Here is a 21,591-nt window from a genome sequence, read left to right as displayed (position 1 = left end):
TCTCCATAAGCTTCTGTAACATGTCAACCTACTTCTTGCAGGACGAATGATCTGAAAGGCATAGGGAATGAATGAATAAATGAATACCCAAGACAGAAGTTGTCTTTTTTATAACCTAATCTTGGAAGTGATTTGCTATTACTTGAGCTGTTAGTTACTGGTCATGCAGGCTGACCTAGTACACTGTGGGAGAGGACTGCACAAGGAGGCATGAATACCCTGCACAAGGCAGAGATCACTGGGGGCCATCTTTTTTTTTTTTTTTTGCTCTGTCGCCCAGGCTGGAGTGCAGTGCGATCTCAGCTCACTGCAACCTCCGCTTCCTGGGTTCCAGTGATTCTTGTGCTTCAGCCTCCCTTGTAGCTGGGACTACAGGCACACACCTCCATGCCTGGCTAATTTTTGTGTTTTTAGTAGAGATGGAGTTTTGCCATGTTGGCCAGGCTGGTCTCGAACTTCTGGCTCAAGTGATCCACCCACCTCAGCCTCCCAAAGTGTTGGGATTACAGGCCTGGGCCACCGCACCTGGCCACAGGGGCCATCTTGAAGACTACCACACATATGGATGCTTATTTTTTGTTGTGGCAGTGGCAAAGTACACATAAAATTTACCATTTTAACCATTTTGAAGTGTATGATTCACTGGCAGCACATTCATAAAGTTGTGCAACTCATCTAAGCAGTTTCTTACCTTTGGCATGGAGCATCTTAGTTTATTTTTTCATTTTCAACCTATGTTTGTCTTTGGATCTAAAGTGAGTTATAGACAGAATAGAGTTGGAATCATGTCTTTCTTATCCGTTTGCCAACTTTTGTCTTTAATTGGAAAGTTTAATCCATTTACACTTACTGATAAGGAAGGACTTTTGCTATTTTGGTATTTGTTTTCTATACTTTTTTACTTCCACAATTCCTCCATTACTGTCTTCTTTTTTGTTTAATTGAGCTTTTTGAAGTGTGCCACTTTTATTATTTTCTGTATAGTTCTTAGGGGTTTTTTTTAGTGGTTTCCTTGGGGATTACAATTTGCATCTGAAATTTATAACAATGTAGTTTGAATTAATACCACTTTAGTTTTAATACTGTATAGAACTTCTTCTATACAGCTCTGTTTCTCCCCCTTTATGTTGTCATTGTCACAGATTTCATCTTTATACATTGTATATCCATTAATGTAGATTTATAATTGTTGTTTGATGCATTTGTCTTTTAAATTATGTAGAAAAAAAGGAGACGTCACAAACTAACTTTTATATTTACCTATGTAGTTACCTTTATTGGTATTCTTTATTTGTTCGTGTGGCTTCAAGGTGCTGTCTAGCATCCTTTCATTTCAGCCTGAAACACTGTTAGCAGTTTCGTAGTCCAGGTTTACTAATTATTAACTCCTTCAAGTTGTTTTGTTTTGTTTGTTTGTTTGTTTGTTTTTGAGATGGGGTCTTACTCTGTCATTCAGGCTAGAGTGTGGTGGTGCCATCATAGCTCACTGCAGCCTCAGCCTCCCTGGGCTCAGGTGATCCATCCACCTCAGTCTCCTGAGTAGCTGGGACTACAGGCATGTGCCACCAAGCCCAGCTGATTTTTTTGTATTTTTGGTAGGCATGGGGTTTCGCCATGTTGTCCAGGTTGGTCTCAAACTCCTGGGCTCAAGTGATCTGCCCACTTCAGCCTCCCAAAGTGCTGGGATTATAGGCATGAGCCACTGTGTCCAGACAATTCCCTCAGTTTTTATCTGGAAATGTCTTAATTTCACCTTCATTTTTGAAGGATATTTTTGGCAGATAGTGAATTCTTGGTGGACAGATTTTTTTAGAAGTCTTTCAGCACTTTAACCATATCCTCCCAGTGCTCTATTCTTCATGGTTTCTGATGAGACATTGGCTGTTAATCTGATTGAGGATGTCTTATATGTAATGAATCACTTCTCTCTTGTTGCTTTCAGGATTCTGTCTTTAGCTTTCAGCAGTTTGATTAGTATGTATCTTGATGTGGCTTTCCTTGAGTTTTTCTGCTTGGAGTTTGTTGAGCTTCTTGGATGTGTAAATGCTTGGAGTTTGTTGAGCTTCTTGGATGTGTAAATGCATGTATTATCAAATTTGGGAAGTTATTGGCCATTATCTCTTAAGATATTTTTTCTGCCCCTGTCTCTTCTCTTCCCCTTCTGAGACTCTTGTTATGCATATGCATATGCATATATATATATATATATATATATATATATATATATATATATAGTTTGTTTGTTTGTTTGTTTGTTTTGAGATGGAGTCTCACTCTGTTGTCCAGGCTGGAGTGCAGTGGCACAATCTTGGCTCACTGCAACCTCGGCCTCCCAGGTTCAAGCAATTCTCCTGCCTCAGCCTCCAGAGTAGGTGGGACTACAGTCATGCACCACCACGCCCAGCTAATTTTTGTATTTTTAGTAGAGACGGGGTTTCACCATGGCCAGGCTGGTCTCAAACTCCTGACTTCACGTGATCCGGCCGCCTTGGCCTTCCAGAGTGCTGGGATTACAGGCGTGAGCTATGGCACCTGGCCTTGTTATGCATATATTGATGGGCTTGATGGTACCCACAGATCTCTTAGACTTCATTTGGCCTACCTTCAAGTTCCTTAATTCTTCTGCCTGCCCAAATCTGCTGTTGAACACTCACCGTCTCCCCTCTGAGTTTTTCATTTCAGTTATTATACTTTTTAGCTCCAGAATTTTTTTTGTTCCTTTTTATAATTTCTGTCTGCCATTGGTATTCTCTGTTCGGTGACACACATTATTTAGGTTTTCTTTAGTTCTTTGAGCATATTAAGATAATTGATGGAAAGTCTTTATCTAGTCAGTCCAGTGTCTGAACCTCCTCAGTGACAGTTTGTTAATTTCCTTTTTTTCCTGTGAATGGACCATACTTTCTTGTATTTTCGCATGCCTCATAATTTTTTGTTGAAAACTGGACATTTCAAATATTTTAATATGGTAACTCTAGAAATGAGATTCTTCCATCTTCCCAGGATTTGTTGTTGCTGCTTGTGGTGAGTTGTTTGTTTGTTTAGTGACTTTTCTAAAGCTTTTTTGGAAATACCATGTTTTTTGTTGTTTGTAGTCACTGAAGTCTCCATTCCATTAGCTTAGTGGTCAGCTAGTGATTTGTCAGAGATTTCCTTAAATGCCTGGAGCAAAACAAAACATTAAACTCTGTAGGTGTATGTCGGGATATGCCTTCAGCTCTCAGCCAGGCAGTTCATAACGGCCTTTGCCTTCCCATCCTGCTTGTTTGGAGCTTTTCAGCAAGCAGTTTGTTTGCCCCAACTGACTTCCTGTGCTGCACGCTGCATCTGCTGCTTCGTTACCTTTCAATGTTTTTAACAGATAACCTCCAGGTAACCACTTTTCCACCCTGAGAGAGTTCCAAATCAGGTGAAATAAAGGCAAGCCTTTTGTGTTAGTCCTTCAGAGAGCCACTCACCAGGTCAAAACAATACAATTCTTTGAGAGCAGAGTCTACTCTGTTATCTCCAGCACCAGTAACCCACTCTGGGAATTACTGCCACCGAGCCAGGAAGAAGGGAATGGGGCAAGGGTAAATTAAAATATACCAAGTTCTCCTACCAGATTTCACTTGCTCTTGCCTTGATTAAACATTCTGTTGATTGGTGAAAACCCTTGACTGTTTTCCAGATTTTTGATAAAGTTGATTGTGACAGATTTTGCCAGCTTTTTTCTGTGGAGGGATGGGCCTTTGGAATCTCCTATGCCACCATTTTTGATGATGTCACTCCTATGCATGCTATTTTTAAGATAGGGTGATTATATTTAAAGATTGTATATACAAGGTATTTAAGAATTTGAATATACATGAAGTATATTTGGAGTATACATGGAACCTGTTAATGAACATGTGGAGGAAGGGAAAATTGAGCTAAAAAAAAAAAAACAAATAAGCCAGGCGCTGTGGTTCATGGCTGTAATCCCAGCACTTTGGGAGGCCAAGGCGGGCGGATCACAAGGTCAAGAGATCGAGGCCATTCTGGCTAACATGGTGAAACCCTGTCTCTACTAAAAATGCAAAAATTAGCTGGGCATGGTGGTGCATGCCTGTAGTCCCAGCTACTCAGGAGGCTGAGTCAGGAGAATCACTTGAACCTGGGAGGTAGAGGTTGCAATGAGCTGAGATCGCACCACTGCACTCGCTGCTGGCGACAGAGGGAGACTCCATCTCAAAAAAAAAGAAAAAAAAACCAAAGTAAACAAAAATCTTTGCAGCTAGAGCTACATTTAATCCGTAAATGTTTTAGATTCAGTTGAGACTTTCATACCTGTTTTTTCCTAAGGAATTACTTAGAGCATTTCCAACAATTTTAATTAAAAGGGATTTTAATTAAATGCAGTATTTAGTTATTGCAAAAGCAGCAAAGCTGATGGAAAATATGTAACAAAGTTTGAGAGTCCTTAGGACTAGAACCAAATGTTACTGAATTAACAGAAGCACACAAAATACAGGGATCTCATTTTTTTTTAAGCAAAAGTGGTTTAGGTATATTTGCTATTGTCAAACTAAATATTAAAAATTATATTTTTGTACCACAATGATAAGAAATTATGTGAAGATTTAAAATGTTTAAAGTATTCTAATTATAGTTTTGAATTGCCTGTTTTGAGTGTCAGTCAGATTAACTACAGAGGTCAGCCACATATCATCTCTATAGTTTCTTGTATTAATATTTTGCCTAATCCATCCTCTATTTCTCATCACCTTTCGACAGTATGATCTTTGAAGTCTTTTTAAGTTAATGTATATATTGACTATAGTCTAAATTATGGGAATTTTGAAGCAGGAGATATGTTTTCTGGTAGACTTTAATCTCGCACTTTTTCATGTTATAGGGGATAATTTTGACACTACACTTTTAATAAGGACATTTCATTTGTAGAAATAATGTACTTCCTAATTTTCACCAGTTCAACAGTCAGTACTTTGTCTTGGTATGTTATCTCTATTTCAGTTTTTCTTCCTCTTATATTCAAATAAATCTAATCTATTATTTCTTATGTAACATTAAGTTTTATTCAAGTTCCATCCATACTTCTGATCTTCTGCTTTCTGTATAGAATGGCTTCAAATGTAAATTTTCTTAAGTCCAAGCTTACTCATTATAAGTAGGCACAAGTCTGAGAGTACTTCATTATGTCTTTGGTATAGTTGGGTCTGAGCATATTTAAACATATTAAGTACATATTTTGATGAATATTATTTCTCCCTTTATTTCTATTTATATGTGTAGAAATATTACCTATGAATTTTGCTTTAGAATAGTAATGGGATCTTTACAAAATATGTTCTGAAGTGGGGGGTGGTGTTGGGTCGGGTCTGATAGGGTTGAGAAATTTATTCTACACAAATTAGTGCAATGATGTCTTCCAGGCATTGTACTAGAACTGTGCAGGACCCAGTGGGAGCCTGTAGCAAGGCAGGGTCCATTCAGGCAGGAGGTGAGGTATGTGTTAACCGAGATCATGGAAACATGAGACTACCCAGGAAAAGTTTGAGCTAATTTTGAAGAACTTCCTGTGTTTCTCTCTTCTAAACTGAATGTTCCTTGATGGGCAGGGACCATTTTTACTTATTATAAGTACCTACTGCTCAGCTGTATTAGTCTCTTCTCACACTGCTGTAAAGAAATATCTGAGACTGAGTAATTTATAAAGAAAAGAGGTTTAATTGGCTCACAGTTCTGCAGGCTGTACAGGAAGCATGATGCTGGCATCTGCTCAGCTTCTTGGGAGGCCTCAGGAAACTTATAGTCATGGCAGAAGGCAAAGGAAGAGCTAGCACCTCACATGGATGGAACAGGAAGAAGCTGTTTTGGGGGTGAGGTGCCACACACTTTCAAACAACCAGATCTCATGAGAACTCACTCACTATCATAACACAGTACCAAGGGGGAAATCGCCCCGTGATCCAATCACCTCCCACCAGGCCCCACCTCTAACATTGGGATTATGATTCGACATGAGATTGGGTGGGGACACAGATCCAAACCATATCATAAGCCTAGCCCATGGAAGATACATCATAAATGTTCGTTGAACAGATAGCTCCTACACAGGTGTGCAAGCTTGAAGAGAGAGTAAGTGTGGGCCTGGCTAGAATCCATATTGCCACAGGAGGACCAAAGGATGAATTATTTATTTGCCATACCACAGAGAAAATTTAACAATTGTTATGCCCCTGAGTACTTTTGGGGAATCTCCTCAAATCGTAAATAATAGAAATTATGATGTTATTTCAAGGCAAGGATCCTTAGGACCCTCCTGTGAACTTGTATAGGAAAAAAAATACATTTTTATTTTTACTAGCCTCAAACTGAAATTTAGCATTTCCTTCCATTTTGAATGTAGGTAATAGTGGTGATGTTATCAGTATCACTAACTTTCTTTCTGTTACTTAAAGCTACAGATATTTTCATTTTCTGTTGTTGTAGATACCTCACACTGTTGTTTACACTCATTGTTTTTATATTATGGTAATCACTATGCCATCAATTTTGTTATTTAAATCATCAATAAAGAAGCACATATATTACCTATCACAATTTTCTACTTACATTTTAAATTTTATTTTAAAACATTCTGAAATTTTAGAATAAGCAAAACTAATGTATAGTGATTAAAATCAGATAAATGGTTGCTTCTTATGGAGAAAATTGACTGGGAAAGGGGCACAAGAGAACTTTCTAGGGTGATGAAAATGTCCTGTGTCTTGGTATACACTTGTCAATTGAATGCTGAACTTACTGTCTATACATTTCACTATATATAAATTATACCTCAATTTAAAAAACAAGTACATTAAAAATTTTTCTGAGAAGGTGTTCATAGGTTTCACCAAATTGCCAAAGAAATTTCTGGTACAAAAAAAAAACCCTTTTCTGAGATTATCCTGTTGCCATTGTCTGTCTCCTTCTTTGAGTGCCCTCTTTCAGTAAGCTGTTTTTGTGGTTCATTTCCATTTTTCTAAATGTGTTCTCACTTTTTAAAGATGAACCTAAGACAAGTCAGAAAAGAAAAATAGCAGTTATGAAAGAAATATTTTGCCTGGGTTATTGACCAATCTCTTCTAGCCAGTGAAAATGTGGCCCTCCTAACATAGTTATGTACTTGCTTTGACTCTAAGAAATTTCTAGTGAGAACTACTCTTCTAAAAAGTAATTCATAGATGATTTCATAATGGAACAATTTTTTCTCATTTTCAGTTTTGTTTAGAGTTTTAGTAAGATTTTTATCTTTCTGTATCATTGAATATGCAAAGATTGGAAGAAGAAAATATGTATTAGGAAGTAAGGAAAGAGAAAGTAGTATTACTGATAATCTGTTCCAGATTAATTCCATCTAGGCATGATCTCAGTGCAGTGTGATTGTATATTCTAAGATCGAATATGTGTTACTTTTATAAAATTCAGAGTAATATAAAAAGTATTTATTTAAAAATGTGATGATAGTGCTCAAAGATGTTAAACATAGTGGTAGGTAATGTATAGAATGAACATTGAACTCTCTTTTAGGGGCACACAGTGTTATGACTACTCGTAATAGAATTTTGTGTACCATCTTATGCTTATAACTTTTAGTTTTACTCTATTATTATAATGGTCTCACTCTGAGAAAGATTAAGCTGAGGTGAATCGTCCTAGCAGATTTTTGTCCAGATAGCATCTATATGCCTTTCAGATAGTATCTATATGCCTTTTATGATTTGCTATTAGATAAAAACCTAAAATACTGTTTGGCAATGTTTTTGCAGCCCCTCATATGGAAAATTTGAAATGCAGAGGGGAAACAGTAGCAAAGGAGATCAGTGAAGCCATGAAGGTAAAAGCTATGTGCTAAAAAAATTATCAAATGAACAAAATGTATGGCTAGGTATTTGCATTCAACATTCATATGTGTTTTAGTCTGCTCTAACAGGAATTCTCAGCGGTCCTTTAAATAAATCTTTAATGAATTTATTAAGCAACAGTAACATTTAGAATAGCTGCCATTTATCAGGTACCTACTATGTGCCAGGTAATATACCTGTCTTCTTTAAAGGTTGATTATATTTTTGTGTTCTGGGTGTTAGCAGTTCACCGAACAGTTTTGGATAATAATACCAGCTAAAATGTATTGAATAATTGGTATGGGCACCATCCAACTGCTTTACATGTATTGTCTCATGTAATCCTTACATCCTATGAGACAGATACTGTTATTTCTTTTGTAGATGAGGAAGCTGAGGCACAGAGAGGCTAAGCAGGTTGCGCACATAAGTAACCTACAATCCAGCATTTAAAGCCTGGATCAGCAAGGGCACAGTGGCTTACACCTGTAATCCAAGCACTTTGGGAGGCCAAGGCAGTCAGATCACCTGAGGTCAGGAGTTCAAGACCAGCCTGGCCAACATGGTGAAAGTCCACGTCTACTAAAAATACAAAAATTAGCCAAGTGTGGTGGTGCGCGCCTGTAGTCCCAACTACTCGGGAGGCTGAGGCAGGTGAATTGCTTGAACCCAGGAGGTGGAGATTGCAGTGAGCTGAGATCACACCACTGCCCTCCAGCCTGGGCAACAAAGCAAGACTTCTCAAGAAAAAAAAAAAAAATTAGAGTACTGCATCCATCTTTGTCTGTTTGTGTTTCAACCTGAGATTAATGTTGAATATTACTGTTTGTTTGTTTGAAGTCCTTGCCTGCATTAATTGAACAAGGAGAGGGATTTTCCCAAGTTCTCAGGATGCAGCCTGTTATCCACCTCCAGAGGATTCACCAAGAAGTCTTTTCCAGTTGTCATAGGAAACCAGATGCTAAACCTGAGAACTTTATAACACAGATAGAAACCACACCAACAGAGACTGCTTCCAGGAAAACCTCTGACATGGTACTGAAAAGAAAGCAAACTAAAGACTGCCCCCAGAGAAAATGGTATCCATTGCGGCCAAAGAAAATTAATCTTGATACATGAGCTCTTTCTGTTTATTTTGGGAGTTGAAAATAGGCACCATCAACATTTAGATTACAGCCTAATTAATACCTAGATAAGACTTCATTTGAAATAAGAAATAACTCTTTTACTAGTGATTCATTTATACAGATATAGTATCTCTGTGCGGGGATATGATATAATATTGTATTTCCTTACTGTTTTATCTATTGTAAATAAAAAGCATTTTAAAAAGTATTGACACAAAGCCCATCAGTGGGCATTAAAAATATTAAAAGTGCAGACTTTTACTGTCCTTAAGTGCCATCAACTCTCAGCTCCCTTGTAGCTTTTGTGGGATTTAACAAGTAACAAATTCTGTTGTGTTTCCCTGGTATACATCTTTCTAGGAAAAAAAAAAAAAAGAGAGAGAGCTGTATAATGATTTTTCGTTTACATGCTGAAAAGTAATTATCAGTTCTGCACAGCAGCAGATGCAGGGTTTTTTTTTAAAGATGTAGTTTGATTTATCAAATTAATGTGCTGATGATAATACTGGCTTTGACTTTGTTACTCCATGTTCAGCTAATTTAGGTTTGTGAGATTAACTTTAGGATTTTTTGTTGTGTAAGACAATGATAACTATTATTTGTGCAACATTACTCTTTGAAATAAAAATTGGCATGTAGCCAATGTTTCCTGCCCACACTCACTTTTTTCTATAGACCATTAACATAATTTGACTTGGAACTAATGGTTTCTTTTTAGGGTTTCTTATTTATTTCTTTACAAATCATTCCAGTTCAAAATATATATCAGATTAATACACTGGCAAAGTGTCATTGTGTTATTGAACTATTTCACATTTGAAGATGTTTATATATCAGGTATATAATCACTGGGAGAAGTCTGAGAAAACGATATTGGCTTTACTTCTAACATTTAACTATAGTTTCTTATAGCTCTTATTGTGTGTCTTACATTATACAGTGTAGGCAGGGCCATCAAACTTACCAACTGTTTCCCCTTTTGATGACTCTGATACCTTCATTCATTTTTCAAAGGAATTTACTGATCATGAGGTTGGAAAATCTGTATTTCTCTTGCTTATTATGTATTAATAATCATAAATGTCTAGATTCACCAGAAGTCACCAGAAGGTCTGTCTCAGTGAAGAAAACTTATAAAGCCACTTTGTTGCATTTTGTGTTTCAGTGTTACAGTTTGAGATCTGTATATTTGTACACAGCTATGTGTTTTTCATTGAAATAATGTACAAAGACTGATCTTGATGCTGTGTATTTTTATGAGTTGTCTTAGGCATTCCTGAGCTCAGCTTCAGTTGGATGGTGGGTCAGCACCCTGCGTTTCTGAACATACTAGACTTCAGTTTAAAACTGTTTTGAGGCTGTATAATATGTTGCTGTTTTTACAGTGCTAATGTTTTTATAGTATTAAAATTCTGTATGATTTGTTTCACTTCAGAGGTCCCCAAACAAAAGAGTTATTGTTAATTCTATTAGATTATATAAGCTACTTGCATTTTGATTATATAAGAACATGGTCCCTCCCTTTTAAGAGAGGTATATTGTGCTACATAGAGTTTTTAAATGACATGATAGATTTGCTCTGAAGTATTCAGCAGAGAAACAAGGAATCGATTAAGGAAATGTGACAAAAATCCTGTTAATGTTGAATCTGTGTAATGACTATATTCTACTTTGTGTTGGAAATTTTTATAAGTTTTTAAAAAATGGTTATATTTTAAAGTCCCCAGGCAGACAGCTGAGATTTGAAATCCTCTTGAGAGCCCAAAGTTTTACTCCATAGTTATAGCAGAGTTTAAAATAGAAATACCACTGGGAAAGACAGTACGTATTAGCATTATTAACTAAGAAAAGCATGACCAATAGCAGTAATAATATTGAATAAGTATACTGTGTAAGAGGAGAAGTTGCATTTCTGCATAGGCCAAGAACTAGTAAGCTAAGGATTAAAAGCAAGAAAGTCTGTAGTTTTAAGGAATTGGAAAGGTTGAAGGAAAAAATTGAAAATCAAATCTTGCTCTATGATAAAAAGAGTCTGGATTGAATAGGGTCTTAAAATTATCTTTCAGAAAAGAAATAGCCAGGCGCGGTGGGCTCATGCCTGTAATCCCAGCACTTTGGGAGGCTGAAGTGGACAGATTACTTGAGCCCAGCCTGGGCAACATAGTGAAACTCCATTTCTACAAAAAATACAAAAATTAGCAGGGTGTGATGGCACACACCTGTAGTCCCAGCCACCCAGGAGGCTGAAATGAGAGGATCACTTGAGCCCTGGAGGCAGAAGTTGCAGTGAGCCAGGATGGCACCACTGTACTCCAGCCTGGGTGACAGAGTGAGACCCTGTTTCAAAATAATAATAAGAAGAACACAAGAAGGTTAAGTCTAGTCCCAAAGAAGAGAGAACACTGTCAAAGCTGGTTTCTGAAAACTGGTACCAAAATCTACATTTGTTTATTTAGGCTACTATAACAGAATACCACAGGCTGGGTGGCTTAAACAACAGATACTTACTTCTCACAGTTCTGGAGGCTAGAAGTCCATGAGAAGGTGCTGGCAAATGCAGTTTCTGGTGAGGGCTGTCTTCCCGACTTGTAGATGACCACCTCCTTACTATGTCCTCACATGGCCTTTCCTCAGTGCATGCATGTGGAGAGAGGGACAGAGTGCAAGCTCTCTGGTGTCTCTTCTTATAAGGACACCAATTGTATCAGATCAGAGCCCCACCCTTATGGCCTCATTTAACCTTAATTATTTCCTTAGAGGCCCCATCTCCAAATACAGCTATAGGCACATGGGAGTTAAGGCTTCATCATACAGATTTTAGGGGGACACAAACATTGAGTCCATAACACAAGCCCACAGAAAATCTTATCCTAGACCTCTTTCCCTGGCCCTTTATGGCTTGGGCTCCGTAGAGGACAAAGTGAATAAAACCAAATTTTTTATTGCTTCAAACAGTATGATTTCATCTTGTAAGATGTACTTTTTCTTTTCTAAGGCTGAATTTGTTTGATTTCTGGTGAACACCTATCTTCTCTATCCACCTTCATTCATTTATTCATCTGTTCAACACATACAGTTGGACACCTACTCGGATCAAAAGTCAGAGATCTTAAGAGCACAGCCTCTAAGCCAGATCATCTGAGTTCAGATTTCAGTTCTACCATTATTAGTTCAATGATATTGGACAAGTTACTTAACCTGTCTATGATCAAAAGTCAGAGATCTTAAAGAGCATAGTCTCTGAGCCAGATCATCTGGGTTCAGATTGCAGTTCTACCATTATTAGTTCAGTGACATTGGGCAAGTTACATAACCTGTCTATGCTGCAGTTTTCTCATGTGCAAAATGGGGATAATAATTATGCCTACCTCATAGCGTTATTCTGAGAAGTAAATGAGTTCATAATGTGAAGGCCTTAGACTAATAACTGGTGCATATGAGTACTCTATGATCACTGTTATTACTTCTTTTGATAAAGGAAATGAAAACACTCAGGACAAGTGTTGCCTTCAGGAAGGTCATATTCCAGTGAAGAGGATGAGTGTGCAAACAATGATAATGCCATGCAGCAAATGGTATGATAGATGTATGTGTGGAACTTAGGGGAGTAGTCATGGAAGTCTTTGTAGAAGAGGTGGCATTTGAGCAGTCTTGAATGTTTTAGGCAAATAATCAGGGAAGGAATACAGGAATAAAGAACAAATTACTGTTATAACAATGTGGATCAATATCAAAGATACTATATTGAATAAAAGAAGCAAAGCCAGGCACAAGAGAATACATCCTGTGTATGGAATCACAGAATGGGCAAAACTAAGCCATGGTGGTTCCCTCTGGGGAGAGGGGAGATATTAACTGGGAATGGCACGGGAAACATTTTTGGGTGAGCAAAATGTTCTGTATCTTGATCTGAGTGGTGCTCACATGGCTGTATATGTATGTAAAATTTTGTTGAACTATACACTTAAAATTTCTGCACTTTATTTAAGTTTTATATTTTAAAAATGCACAAAACTGATTCACCAAATATTTGAGGAGCGTCTCCAGCATCAAAGACAGACCCAAAAACTGTAAGTCCCTTAATGGCAGGAATCTTTGTTCCATCCACCTGGAATAATTGCTGGCACATGATGGGCCCTCGATGCATAGTGGTTAACTGAGTGAATTAAAACAAAAACCAAAGAGAATAAAGGACCTCAAAGAAAACAGATACATACAAAGCAAAATCCCAGAATGATGACTGTACTCCCAGAAAGAAGAGAAAATCATACATTTTTTGGAAAATCGGAATGCTATTAAATAATGTTCAGTAAATAAGAAAAAGTTTTTGAAAATTAAAAATATGAAAGTTGAAATAAAAATTCAGTGGGAGGGCTGGGAGATAAAATGAAATTTTCCCAAAAATAAAACAGAAAGATTAAGAAATGGCAAATTAGAAAAGTAAGAATAAAGAGAATAAGTTCATAAAGTTCAAAGTCTAATCGATACCCATTCCAGAGATAGCATGCAGAAAAAGCAGCAGAGTCAAAATTATCAAAGAGATAATGCAGTTACCATATGGCCCAGCAATTTTACTCCACGTTCTAAACCTAAGAGAATTGAAAACATGCTCACACAATAACTTACACACAAATGTTTGTAGCAGCAGGTTGAACTTTCATGAACTGATGAATGGATAAATAAAATGTGGACTATCCACTCAATAGAATATTATTTGGCAATAAGAAGAAATGAGGTACTGGTAAATGCCACAGTGTAGATGAACCTTAAAACATGCCAAGTGAAAGAAGCCTCTCACAAAAGACTGCTGAATTTTGTAGACTCCATGTAAATGAACTGTCCAGAACAGGCAAATCTACAGAAACAAAAAATAGATCTGTCACTGCCTAAGGCTGGAAAGATGGAGAGGGTGGAAGGAATAGGAAGTGACTGCTAATGGGTATGGGATTTTTTTTTTTTTTTTTTTGTGAAACAAGGTCTTGCTGTGTTGCCCAAGCTGGAGTACAGTGGTGCTATCTTGGCTTACTGCAACCTCTGCCCCCGCAACTCAAGCCATCCTCCCACCTTAGCCTCCCAAGTAGGTGGGACTATAGGCATGCACCATCATGCCCAGCTAATTTTTGTATTTTTTGTAGAGACGGAGTTTCGCTATGTGGCTGGTCTCAAACTCGTGAGCTCAAGCGATCCGCCCACCTCTGCCTCCCAAAGTGCTGGATTACAGGCGTGAGCCACTGCGCCTGGCCTGGGATGTCTTTTGAGGGTGATGAAAACCCTCTAAATTTGATTATGGTGATTCACGACTGCTTGTTGAATATACTGAAAACCATTGAACAATACAGTTTAAAAGGGTGAGTGAGATGGTAAAGTATATCTCAATTTAAAAAGAGAATAAAGAAATAGAAATAACACAAGAAACATTCCCAGACCTGAGGAATACCAAGAGGAATTGGAATGGCATCAGATTACTAAACAACAATCCTAAAATCTAGAAGCATCTGGAGAAATATTCTCAGCATAAATGATATACAACCTAGGCTTTTATACACAGTCAAACTAATAATCAAGTGCATGATTAGCTAAAAGATATCTCAGATATGCAAAGCGTCAAAAAAAATTACCTCCAAGGCATCCCGTTTGGGGGTTCTACCAGGGGCTGTGCTCTATTCCAAAGGGTAAACCAAAAAAGCAGCAGCCATGGGATCTGGGAAACTAAGGCTCCCAAAACACAGCACACTCGAGTCTACAGGCTACTAACTAATCAGCAGATTTGGAGACTAGGCAGACCAGGTTGGAATAAGACTATGTAGGCCGGGTGCGGTGGCTCACACCTGTAATCCCAGCACCTTGGGAGGCCGAGACAGGCAGATCACCTGAGGCTGGGAATTGGAGACCAGCCTGACCAACAACTAAAAATACAAAATTAGCTGGGCGTGGTGGCGCATGCCTGTAATCCCAGCTACTCAGGAGGCTGAGGCTGGAGAATCGCTTGAACCCAGGAGGCAGAGGTTGCAGTGAGCCAAGATCACGCCATCGCACTCCAGCCTGGGCAACAAGAACGAAACTTCATCTCAAAAAAAAAAAAAGGACTATGTAGGACTCCAAAAGAGATATTTTCAGAAAAAAATAAAAGTGACAACACGAGTGATAATGTTAACTATGCAGAAAATTGTATAAAGGAGATGTTTTGTAATATGATTAAGATGTTCAAAGAAACAAAAAATAAGGCAGTTATTCACTACAGTAGAGGCAGAAAGCTGTACAAAAAAAGAAATGTAATCATGGTTACAAATTAGTTCTCCAGTGAACAATATTTATATAGCCATAATAATAAAAACCCTGAATCTGAATTCAGTAAAAAAAAAAAAAAAAAATTGGGACAGTTACACTGGGAGGCTAAAGGATGGGAATTAGCAATTAGTACAGCACAGGCACTGAACAGTTAGATGGACATTGGTTAAAGCAGTAAGGTGGGGTGTGGAGGCCCTTATAGCTGCTGGGTCCTGGGGCAGGGTAGGGTGTCCCAGGACATGGAGCTGGAGCAGCCAGAGTGGCAGGGATAGTGAGGAGGCTTCTGTGCCAACCAGTACAATCCATATGTTTGTAACAGTGTGACTGTCTGAACACCAGCTTTGACATGGCAGTGGGGAGTGAAATCTTCACCCACCACAACTGGAAGTCAGTGGATGTCTAAAAAGCTGATTCAAGATCATACAATATGGATATAATTTAGTGCAGCAGAATAAAGAGCTGACGAAGTGGGAAGTATTAACTCTGTGGATGAACTTAGGTGGGGGAACTGGGCCAGGGACTGATAATTTTTGATAGAAGCCTCATAGATTTGATTTTTAAAATTAAATGCATATAGTAATTAAGGGAAAATAAATTTGGTTTAAGAGACAAATCATCCCCTAGAACCTTTCTCGGGGTTTCAGTTTTTCAGGGTTTCAGAAGCTTTCTCAGGGTTTCAAAACAGGCGTGTGCCACCATGCCCGGCTAGTTTATTTGTTTTAGAGATGGGGTCTCGCCATATTGCCCCGGCTGGTCTTGAATTCCTGGGCTCAAGCCATCCTCCTGCCTCAGCTTCCCAAAGTGCTGGGATTACAGGAATGAGCCACTGCACCTGGCCTATCACAGTATATTTCAGATAAGACTTACTATTCTCTGTTTTTGGCTGATAATTCTAGTTTTGGTTTCTTCAGGTTTTTTTTTTTTTCTCCCCTCTGACCATTTGTTTTGCAAATAGATTATATTATGAAAGTCTCTGAAGAAAAAAATATCTCTCTAGAGAACCACTGAAGGGGGTTCTTGGGGATTTTATATGAAAGGATTTGAGAAAATTAATGTTATATTCATTTGAAGCTTCAGGGGTAAAGAATCCCTTGTAATTCGTTGCTGTGTCTCTACATTGCTCATACTTTGCCCATGGGCTGTAAACTAATATTCGTTGAATGAATGAGTTCATATTGCAAATTTCTAACTTGTCGGTTTCCCTGGATCACAATCTCACACATTAATGGCTTGTGGCATTTATATTCATTATTAATTGAACTTAGAAGGTGAGTGTGGGGAGGGGAGAGGTAAAAAACTGAGGACAGATCACTGGGAAACTGACCTGAATTAGGACTCCAGAGTCTCCTGTCTACTAGAACTACGTCTACTAGAACTAAGTCTAATTCCCATATCCCTGCAGGACATAAGAGCAGAGGATGGCATTGACATCCCTCAGTGACATCACTGTGCTAGCAGGTATAGTTGCCTTCTGATCACCTTTTCCTTTGGTCACATCCCCTGACTTCTGGGTGGCCTGGGATAGCTAGAGAAGAAAATTCAACTTCTCCCTGCAGGTCTTCTGCTCCAGCTGACTCCTGTGCCTGTGTAAAAGATTGGGCATTTCTATCATCACCTTGACTAGCCTTACTCAGAGAATGGCTCCAGTGCCTTTGGGCTCATACCTAGTTGCAGATTTTAAGACCTCCCTTGGTGCCCATTCATGTAGCTCTGTGGCCCACATCTTCTACAATGATGTCATTGGAGTTCTTTTGTCCATTTCTGCCCCTGATGCCACCTTGATGGGAATGCCACCCTCCACACAACTCTTCACCAGTCCATAAATACCTGAGACTTGGCGCATTTCTTTTTTTTTTTTTTTTTTTTTTTTTTTTGAGACTGTCACCCAGGCTGGAGTGTAGTGGAGCGATCTCAACTCACTGCAACCTCCACCTCCCAGGTTCAAGAGGTTCTCATGCCTTAGCCTCCCGAGTAGCTGGGATTACAGGCGCGTGCTACCATGCTGGGCTAATATTTGCATTTTTATAGAGATGAGGTTTTGCCATGTTGGTCAGGCTGGTCTCGAACTCCTGACCTCAGGTGATCCACTCGCCCTGGCCTCCCAAAGTGCTGTGATTACAGGAGTGAGCCGCCACGCCCGGCCCATTTCATTCTTAAAAAAAAAAATCCTTCCGGAGGTTTAGTTCCTCCACAAGGCAGCTTCTGGTTACCTGCCCCCTCAGGGTCCTTGCTGCCTGGGTCACCCCAGCAACCCCTTCGTCCACACATCACTGCCCTTTGCAGCACCAGCTGATTACATTGCTTTTTCCATGTTCTAGCTGTTCTTTTGAGCCGTTTTATAGCCGAGCATCTCCACCAGAAGAGCGGATAGGAAAAAGGAAAAGAGAGGAGGATTTGACCTTGGTATCTTGCTTCATTTCCTTCTCTGACAAAAATTTGGTGAAAAGGTTAAAATAAGTGTTCGAATTCTCTCTGACTTGTCATATTCTGTCTATGCCCTGTGTGCCTGCCTCTGATCCTGAGGAAGTGTAGAAATGAGGGGATGACACTGGCAGAATAATAAAAATGGGCAAAGTTGTAGGGCACCCCTGCTCCAGGTCCCATACACCCCAGCTCCAGAGCCTCAGGATCTTTCCCAGCCATGTGCCAGACAATATTGTAAAATGATTTTTCGTAGCCACACCTTTTATTACACACATACTCGATGAATCTAAATACTGTGCTAAGAGCTGTGTGGATGTACACCTGTAAACCAAGGCACAGACCCTGCCCACAAGCAATTTGCCGTCAGTTAGGGGAGCCATCAGTAGCATCTAGGGATCCATTAGAGGGAAAAGAGGGAGCTGAGGGAGAGGCTAGGAGCCCAAGCAAACCTGCACTTCTGCTCCTAGAGGGAACCTGAGAGTGAAACTCATGGGTTTGGAAACTTCTGTGGAATTACCTGCTTGCAAGAAATGATTTTGTCTGGTTTTAGAAACTACGATGGAACACTAATATATTCCTGTAATTGACTGGCAAGTTTTAACACTTACTGCAATTTATTTTTCTTGTAAGCCCAACCCAAGTATTCTTCCTTTAAAAAAAATTTCAGATTGACAAATGACTGCTTCTTTAGAAATCCTCCTTACTAAAATTACTCCTCATTTCTTTTTCTTTCATATTCAAAGGGAACAAACGTTCAAACACACAAATAAACACTGCTCTTTGCCAGAGTGGTGGACTCTGGCCTCCCCACCCCCAGCACTCCCAGTCTTGCCCTCCTGCAAACACTAGACTTAATTTTCTCTGCGCTGAGGGCCCTCCTCGAGTCAGAGTGAGAGGAAAAACAGAAGGGAGAAGCTGCGAGATGTGGCAACAAAGGGGACGGTGATCAGGTTTATCCCTGATGTTGTCTGTGAAGGTGTTCCATTCTCCAGAGATCTCACCAAATGGTATAAGTGATGTGCAGATAAGCCTGTGGTTCCCTTCACTCATCAGATCAGAGCCTCAGAATTCTCAGAAACCATTTTTTTCCTAACATAAAACTCCTTTTCTCATTTCTATCCCTCTGTAAATCTGATTTGAAAAAATTGTTTGAACAAACCAACAATGTCAGATTTGTTCCAGCTATATGAGCTCACAATTCATCTACTCTTGGTAGTTCAAGATAAAAGATTACCCAAAGAAAAGGAAGAGATTGAGTAAAGCCACAACTGTAATAGTGTCCCAGATTGGGTAAAAGGCCATTAATAAATAGCGTGAATTGTAGAACTGTTTAAAGCAGCATATTTTTAAAACAGGCATATAAAGAATCCACTTTATGCCTGGAATTGTACAAAAATACTTTAAATAAATGTTTACATATATAATGTTATCAACTTATTTGCTGAAGGTAATATCAATATAATGCTAGTAGTTACCATGTATTGAGTGCTTACTACATGCCATGATCATGCTAAAAGCTTCACATGCACCATCTCTTTTAATCCTCAAGACAATCCATGAATTAAGGGCTATTACCACGCCCATTTCATGAGAAAGAGGTGGAGATGAGAAGGGAAGTGCCTGGCCACCTTCCCAGCGGTCTATAGACCATGTAGAGCAGAGCGAGGCCTTCTGACCACAAACTCTGCTTCCACCTTCTCCCCGTGGTTCACAGCAAAGGCCTTGTCCAGAGTCTCAGACGCTCTCACCGCTACACCACAGCGACCTCGTTGGTTCTTCTCATTTTTTTTCAATGACACATAGCAACAGAGAGTATCAACAAACATTTTTAAATTTCCCAGCAGTTAACGAATAGTGAATATTACTATGTAATACTAGTGTCTAAGAAAGTGCTCAAAGTTGTTTAAAGCAATTTATTATCTTAATGAGGTTAAATATGAACTTTTGCTGTTAATTTCTTGGGAAATATAAATCATCATAGCTAGTCATTCTTTCATCGTGGGAAGCTAACAGTCCTGATTGTTCAGGATTATAATTATAGTAAATTCTGAATTTGTGACGTGTGAATTTTAGAAGGTTACAAAACAACTTCCAGACAACTGAGTCATAAAGTTTTTGAGAGAAGTATGTGGCACACGTCTAATTCATTGTCCTTTCTCTCCAGTGGTATAGTTATGATATTAACCTAAATTGCAAAAGGAATCGTTTTAGTTGACTGCTGCTTGAAATTGTGTCACTTTTCCAAATTTAGGTAATGTCTGTTACAAGGAGTATATTTTGGAAACATTAACTTGACTGATACTTATTTCCCTGGTTAAGTGACCTTCCTGCCATGTGCTGAGTGCCAGGACTTACTGCCCCTCAGTAATTTGGAAGGGGATCCTGGGCCCTGCCTGGAACAAAGGGTTGTGAAACAGCTCTGAGTCTCAAGGCAAGTCTTGAAAGCCATATATAGTTTTCAGAAAAAGAGATCTTCTAAATTCCATTCACCCCCATTTAACACATTAGGAGCCAAGCCTGGTGGACTAGCTCTAGGGGCAGTTTAGGAGAGAAGGGGATCGGGGAACCTTCATCCCTTCTGCCTCTGGTGAACTGGCAAGATGAAGAGGATGAAGCTGGGTGACCCAGAGCCCGCCCTCCCTCTCTCGGCAGTCATCTCCAAGGCCGGAGTAGACTGGACTGGAGGGCCTCTGAGAGGACACAGCCAGGAAGCACACTCTCCCTGTGCTCTTCACCCACCATGAAGAGACAGGACGGGAAAGTCCGTGCTGTGCTGGTGTCCATCAGAGGGAGGGACACCATCCAGCCCCTGGGACCGGGCTCGGCTCTGTTGTTGCACAGAAGTCATTTGGAGATCCCCACGTGCCACATGGAGGATTGTGGGAGGACCCCACCGAGGTGGCTGGCAGCCTCTCATGGACACCATGGAGAGTGACCCAATCACTCTGCATTTGAGGACTGCAGAGTGGCTCAGCGGTCTGGACATTGAAGAGGAGCCAACCTCAGGGGTAACACAGTGCCGCTGGGAGCTGAGATGAGCCAGGTGGTCGGTGGGGGACACAAGCCTAGAACAAATTCAATAAACCAGCCACAGACGTTATCATCAGATGTGCCCAGAGACAAGGTGGACAGGGGCATTTGCTGTGGAGACCAGAGGGCCAGAGAGAGTACAGGGACCTGGATAGATGGCTCCAGCACCTCTTCTTCTCCCTACACCCATATGCCATCTTGATAAACAGCAGGGAAATCTGAAAAATACCAAGTCTTCCCATAGGGACAGTGTTACCTCCCAAAAACTGTTTGAATAATTGGCTTGAACTGGATTTTCTGAACTGAACTAATGCTATTGTTTTGTGGGTTTTTTTCTTCCTACTGAGTAGAGTAGTTGTTTATGGGGGACATCTGATCCTTTCATTTTCTTCCAGAGAGCTAACCACCTGTTCTGACACCATTTATTGAATAGTACCTCTTTTCCCCCACTGATGTGAGAGGCTGCATTTTTCATCTAATAAAATCGAATATATATTTAGATCTATTCCTAGTCTGTTCTTTTCATATGCTCATACCGTGCTGCTTTAACTTGTAGAGCATCATGATAGATTTATTTTTTCTTAGGACTATCTTCCTCCACTTGTTATTACTATTTTTCCATAAAGTTCCTGGCTACTTTGGCTTATTTATTTCCCTACATGAACTTTAATATCAGCTTGGCTGAGATGCCAAGGATATCCTGTTGGTAATTTTGGGGGATTGCATTAATTTCATAGTTTATTTTAGGGAAGATGGACTTGGTAATTCTTATCTAAGAACTTGATATGGGCTAGGTTTTTTTTTTCTTTTTTTTTTTTAAAAAAGATTAGTATGCTTTTTATTTGAGTAGGTAA

The 21,591-nt window shown here is 39.4% G+C and overlaps 1 protein-coding gene across 5 annotated transcripts in view, besides 2 other annotated features; it reads left to right on the top strand.

The window, feature by feature from the left end:
- NSL1 (NSL1 component of MIS12 kinetochore complex) overlaps positions 1–21,242 on the top strand; it is a 65,625-nt gene extending 44,383 nt beyond the window's left edge. For 2 of the 5 annotated variants that reach the window (NM_015471.4, NM_001042549.2), the window contains 2 exons: positions 7,794–7,861; positions 8,709–21,242. In NM_015471.4, coding sequence (NP_056286.3) covers positions 7,794–7,861; positions 8,709–8,987 — 347 coding nt within the window. In that variant the 3' untranslated portion in view covers positions 8,988–21,242. The remainder of the gene's footprint in view (positions 1–7,793; positions 7,862–8,708) is intronic. The other 3 variants (NM_001297736.2, NM_001297737.2, NM_001297739.2) reach the window with 2 other exon arrangements.
- Positions 3,382–3,582: a silencer, noted in NCBI's record as "peak688 fragment used in MPRA reporter construct". NCBI's record gives its function as "represses an SCP1 promoter by STARR-seq MPRAs in K562 erythroleukemia cells {active_cell/tissue: K562}" and the evidence as "EXISTENCE:reporter gene assay evidence [ECO:0000049][PMID:32103011]".
- Positions 9,422–9,622: a silencer, noted in NCBI's record as "peak687 fragment used in MPRA reporter construct". NCBI's record gives its function as "represses an SCP1 promoter by STARR-seq MPRAs in K562 erythroleukemia cells {active_cell/tissue: K562}" and the evidence as "EXISTENCE:reporter gene assay evidence [ECO:0000049][PMID:32103011]".
- Positions 21,243–21,591: the final 349 nt, after the last annotated feature.

This window comes from Homo sapiens, chromosome 1, assembly GCF_000001405.40.
Source record: "Homo sapiens chromosome 1, GRCh38.p14 Primary Assembly".
NCBI lineage: Eukaryota > Metazoa > Chordata > Mammalia > Primates > Hominidae > Homo > Homo sapiens.
Note: the sequence above shows the minus strand (reverse complement) of the source record. Positions and strands in the feature narration are given on the sequence as shown.